Consider the following 6000-nt stretch of genomic DNA (forward strand, 5'->3'; position numbering starts at 1 on the left):
AATTGAACAGAGTTCAAGAAGGTCCTAGAAATTGAATGAGGGAGGCATTGAATTCCATTCTTTTTACTAGAAAGAAATTTAGAAAAAGACGAAAGAAGAAAAGGAAGGAAGGAGAGAAAAAAAGAAAAAAGAAATGAAGGAAGGAAGGAAGGAGCATCTTATTTGGTATTATAAAGTGAAAAATATAAGAATATAGCTTCTGAGACACACGCTGAGCCAGAGCTGAGTATCAGAAATAGATGCAGTAAAATAAAGGCTGTGTGGAAATGTTATCCAGCAAATGGGCTTGCTGCCGGATGTGCACGGAAGCCAATACCATAGCACCAGCGCTTGAGAAAAAAAAGGCTTTATTGCAAAGCCAGACAGCAAGGAGAACAGGGTCCCAAACTGTCTCCCCAGTTTGGGGTCTGCAGCAAGTTTTAGGGATCAGAGGGCAAGGGAAAGGATTTAGGAATGTTGGCTTGTCAGAGTCTGATTGGAGGGCTTCGAAGCTGACCATTTATGGTAAGGTATGCTGAGGTGGATGTTAGTCCTGGATCTTTTTAACCAATGGACCCCTCGCTTCTGAAAGAGTTCCCGTGGTGGAGTTCCGGTGGTGGAGTTCCGGTCGTCAGGTTCCGATTTGTCAGGTTCCCACCAAGTCCCAGGCTTCCTGGTCCTGTGGGGAGGGATCGATCATTGGTTCTGGGTGTTGTTGAGAGCTTTATCCTACTGCGCATGCCCTCACTAAGTGACTTGAAGTTTCGTCTCTGTTCTACCTACAAGGTAACAGGACACTTTCTTAACAGTAGGCTCAGTTTGGGCTGGTCCTGCAGTCACAGAAATAAACCTCCTGTGGGTGCATGAGTAAGAAAGTGAAGCCCAGCTGGGCGTGGTGGCTCATGCCTGAAATCCCAGCACTTTGGGAGGCCGAAGCAGAGGCTGGGGGAGTTGAGGGGGGAAATCGCTTGAGGTCAGGTGTTCGAGACCAGCCCGGGCAACGTGGTGAAACCCTGTCTCTAATAAAAGTACAAAAATTAGCCGGGCATGTTGGTGTATACCTGTGATCCCAGCTACTCAGGTGGCTGAGGCAGGAGGATCACCCGAGCCCAGGAGGTGCAGGTTGCAGTGAGCCAAGATCGTGCCACTGCACTCCAGCCTGGACGATAGAGCCAGACTCTGTCTCAAAAAAAAAAAAAAAATGGTGAAGCTGCCTTGTAGGGACCCTGTAAATAGCATGTGTCTCTTCTAAAAGGTCAAGTTAAAGACAGTGAAGACAGGGGCAATGTAGTTTATCTCCCCAACTCCTCCCACAAACACATACAGAATAACTAGGATAGCAAAAGAAAAAAGCCTCAGACACCATATTTAACACAGTCAGGTGACTGAGTATCCCAGAATACAGGAAGCTGGAATGGGGGCACTGACAGTGGTAAGAGTCTCCTGGAGCGCAGCTCTGTGGGCTTTCCTGGGTCTCCAAAATGCAAAGAGAAAAGAGCCACACGGACGGGACACTGATGAGAACAGAATGCAAGATGATCAGGGTAGGACATTTGTAGGTAAAGGTAGGAAAAGTTTCGTTATATAAAATGTATAGGAGGCCATGGTTTTGGACTGGCTACAACTCAAACTAAGAACAAAAACTGCTCTCTTCAAGTCCTATGAACAGAAGCTGGATATAAACTTCAAGGGGAAAGTCTCATGCCTGATGCCTTGCGTGTGGGCTGCACAGAGAGTTCACCAAAATGCCCAAAGCCATAACCAATGATATTCAAACTGCAAACTGGGGTGAGAAGCTGATAGCTTCACGCTGTGGATAGCTACTCCCAAGACTTCAGAACAAAACTCCCTGTCACAACGAGACTCTTACCCCTCTTAATTTTTCTTTGCTTTTATGCCTACCTTTTTCACTTGGCAGGATAATGCTATAGTTGGAATTTCTGTGGTTAACTTGTCAAAATATTGCATCTGTCATGCCTAACCCAAACCTTTACATGACCTAAAGGATCTGTTAGTCCACCCAGTGAATAACTTCAGCAGCTTCCCTAATGCAACTGTTGTTCAAATTGTGCTTTTATGGAGTCAGACTTCTAGCCCCACTTGTTCTCACTCTCTGCTTTAATTTAACCCAGTCATGGGATACTGGTTAATAGACTTCCCTACTAACTGAACAGGAAGGAGTCTATGCAGTTGCTGATGCTTCCTGTTACATATGGATAAATAAATTGGGTATTGTAGAGACTCAGTGAAAAAATTAACTAACAGGCTACTTGGTTAAAATGGAAAGACTTCTCATCTGGCTCATTCTTTGATCTATTTGATTTTGAGTTTCGTTGCTCATTCTTTGATCTATTTCATTTTCATCGGTTTGGGTCATGGAATATGCCCCTGGCTAAGGAGCATTCTCCACACTCTTGGTATTATACTCCTGAGAGTCATAATAGTAGTCTCCTTGGTTCATGGTATCCTCTCAAAAAGCCTTAAATGCCTCCATGCACCCATTTGCTGAACATTGAATGGTCTCTGGTTGGAATGATGAAAATGTCAAGAAATTAATGATAACAAGGACAGTGTAACCTATAAATGACATTTTGACACCAAAAAGCAAAGATGATGTTGACTGAGAGTAGAGTTGATGCCCTAGGTTTTGGTCACACCCTCTTCTAGGTGAAATCCCGGCCAAAATGTAGGAATTGCCAGGTAGAGCAATTGGTTTGGATGAAGCTCCTGAGTCAGGCCCAACAGACCAAACCAGAGAGGAGTCCCTCATGCTAAAGTTCCACACTACCAAGCTGAAATGAAATTGTTTATCTAAACTTCCAAGAAATCAGAAGAAAGAGAGAGGGAGATAATCGCCAAATCTCCAAACAGCCAGTCTTAGCCAGCATGATACAGAAATTCCCTCTGCTTTCCCCTTTATAAGAAAAGTAACTTCGAAATGACAAATTTGCTTTTTGTGTTTTTGTTTCTGCTTTTCTCAGCCCTTTTCTGCTTACAAAATCTGCTGAGCTCATTGGAACACTTATTCTGTTTTACAGAATGAGGTGTTACCCAATTCTACAATCACAAATAAAAGCCAATTAAGATCTTTAAACTCGATTTTGTTATAAATCCGTAGGATACTTGGAAGGGGGTGGGGTGGTGAGCAGAGGAGAAAGATCTCTCAAAGTACTGGGGAACCTGCTGCACTGAAAGGTCCTTTTTTTTTTTTTTTTTTTGAGACAGAGTTTTGCTCTTGTTGCCCAAGCTGGAGGACAATGGCATGATCTTGGCTTACCACAACTTCAGCCTCCCAAGTTCAAGCAATTGTCCTGCCTCAGCCTCCTGAGTAGCTGGAATTACAGGCATGCACCACCATGCCTGGCTAATTTTTTGTATTTTTAGTAGAGACAGGATTTCTCCATGTTAGTCAGGCTTATCTCGAACTTCCAACCTCAGGTGATCCGGCCACCTCAGCCTCCCAAAGTGCTGGGATTACAGGCGTGAGCCACCGCGCCCGGCTGAGAGGTCCTATTTTTTAATGTTTGTGAAAGCAACAGAAGAGCCATAGACTGTGAGATATCAAAGAGAAATAGCACTGGACCCTTATTAATGGTGGCAAGACAGATTTTACCCTGACTATTGCAGCAGGGAAGAGAGACTCCAGCATAAACAGAGCCCGACTCCAACTAAGACAAAGGTGACTTAGTGAGGTTTTCAAAGGGAAAACAAAGAGGAAATAAGAAGGAGTTATGGGGAAATGGAATACTACAGAGGGATGTAAGTGAAGAATTACTGAAAATGGTTTGGCAATGTGGGTTGGAACTATGAACACTTTGCAGTTTGGCTGCATTGAGTTTTTTTGACCAAAGCCTCAGCACAGGGGATGGTGTTACCTTTAAGGTCGTGGTCTAGTACAGGTGGAAGCCAGGCTAAAGTCTGGTCAAGCTCCTTAGCACAATGTTTGGGCAAGTCCTTTCTGCTGCATGAAGGTGGACAGTTCACAGTGGCTAGGAATGCTGGTCCACCCCTACCTCTTGCACAGTATAGAAAAAAAATCATATTCCTCAGTAGAAAACTATGCACTATCGGCCAGGTGCTGTGGCTCACGCCTGTAATCCCAGCACTTTGGAAGGCCGAGGTGGGTGGATCACTTGAGGTCAGGAGTTCGAGACCAACCTGGCCAACATGGTGAAACCCTGTCTCTACTAAAAATACAAAAATTAGCTGGGAGTGGTGGTGCGCGCCTGTAACCCCAGCTACTCAAGAGGCTGAGGCAGGAGAATCACTTGAACCGAGGATGGGGAGGTTTCAGTGAGCCAAGATCACGCCACTGCACTCCAGCCTGGGCAAAGAGTGAGACTCCATCTCGAAAAAAAAAAAAAGAGAGAAAAGAAAGTTATGCATTATCTATGTGCATCCCTTATGCCTTATTAGATTCTAATTGTATGGGAGCTATTTTCTAACTCTGAAAGTAGTATGTAAGTGGTAGATATGCAGATTCTGCCCTATCTCATAGAGATTTCATTGATTTATCTCACCCCTACACACAAACACACACACACACACACACACACACACACACACACACAGAGGTTTGTCTTCATTTGCAATTCATTTCCACATTCCTTGACTCCACATAAATTTGTGCTTTTCTGACATTTTCTTTGAACCAGTTATAACATCTGCCTGGTTCTCTCATTGATTAGCAAGTAAAGTAATGTTGAACATATGTTTATTTTTGTATCTGTATGAGAGTCCTGATTTTATTTTTTAAGAAAATTGTCTTTTAACAACAGAACTTCCTCTTAAAATTACAGGGAAACCCATCCCACTTAACTATAAGTAAACAGAAAAAGATTGTGGTCAAAGACTAAGAGAGAATAGAATAATAATCATGGTAATATATCTATGAAAATAAAAACACATCAGAAATATATGGCTCCAAGAAGAAAAGAATCATAACCTAATATTTCAAAATGAGCTAAGGAACTTTAAAAAATGATAGCAGCTATGAAACAACAATCTGCAACAGAATCACAAAAGCCCAGAAATGAGATGGCTAAATGTAGGAGGACGTAGGACAAAAGCACTGATAGTGCTCAGGAACAAGTGAGAAATAAAAATTTTAAATTTAGAAATGAAGACTGAGGCTGGGCACAGCAGCTCATGCCTGTAATCCCAGCACTTTGGGAGGCAAAGGCGGGTGGATCACAAGGTCAGGAGTTTGAGACCAGCCAGGCCAATATGGTGAAACCCCGTCTCTACTAAAGATACAAAAAATTAGCCGAGCGTGGTGGTGCACACCTGTAATCCCAGCTACTCAGGAGGCTGAGGCAGGAGAATTGCTTGAACCTGGGAGGCAGAGGTTGCAGTGAACCAAGATCACACCATTGCACTCCAGCCTGGGCAACAGAGCGAGACTCCGTCTCCAAAAAAAAAAAAAAAAAAGAAATGAAGACTGGCCAGGTGCAGTGGCTCATGCCTATAATCCCAATCTCAGCACTTTGGGAGGGTCTATTGAGCTCAGGAGGTCGAGGCTGCAGTGAGATAGGTTTGTGTCATTGTACTCCAGACAGAGCAAGACCTGTCTCAAAAAAAAAAAAAAGAGAAAAAGAAACGAAGACTAACAAACACAAAAGTGAATAGATGCCATAAGAAATACAGAGTGAAAAGGAGAAAAAAATGAAATAGAATACAAATGAAGAAGTAAAAAGAAAAGATTTGAGAGAAAGTGATAGATATAGAACATATTCCTAATAGATTAGAATGCCCAACATGTGTATAATAGTTCCCAAAGATGGGGGTGGAATGCAACACAAGAGAATAAATAGTATTATACAGAAATTACGAGAGGCCACTGTTTTGGGTTGAGCTTCAATACTCTAGGCTTCGACAGACCAGATCAAACCAAAACAGAGACACTCATGTTAAGTACCACAGAGTCAAAGCGAAATGTTAAGGCAACAGATCTCAAAAGAGACCAGTTCTTCCTGAAATCAGAAGATTCCAGTCTGAGTCATCATCATAAGGAAGGCCCTT

Source organism: Homo sapiens, chromosome 5, assembly GCF_000001405.40.
Source record: "Homo sapiens chromosome 5, GRCh38.p14 Primary Assembly".
In the NCBI taxonomy this organism is placed as follows: Eukaryota; Metazoa; Chordata; class Mammalia; order Primates; family Hominidae; genus Homo; species Homo sapiens.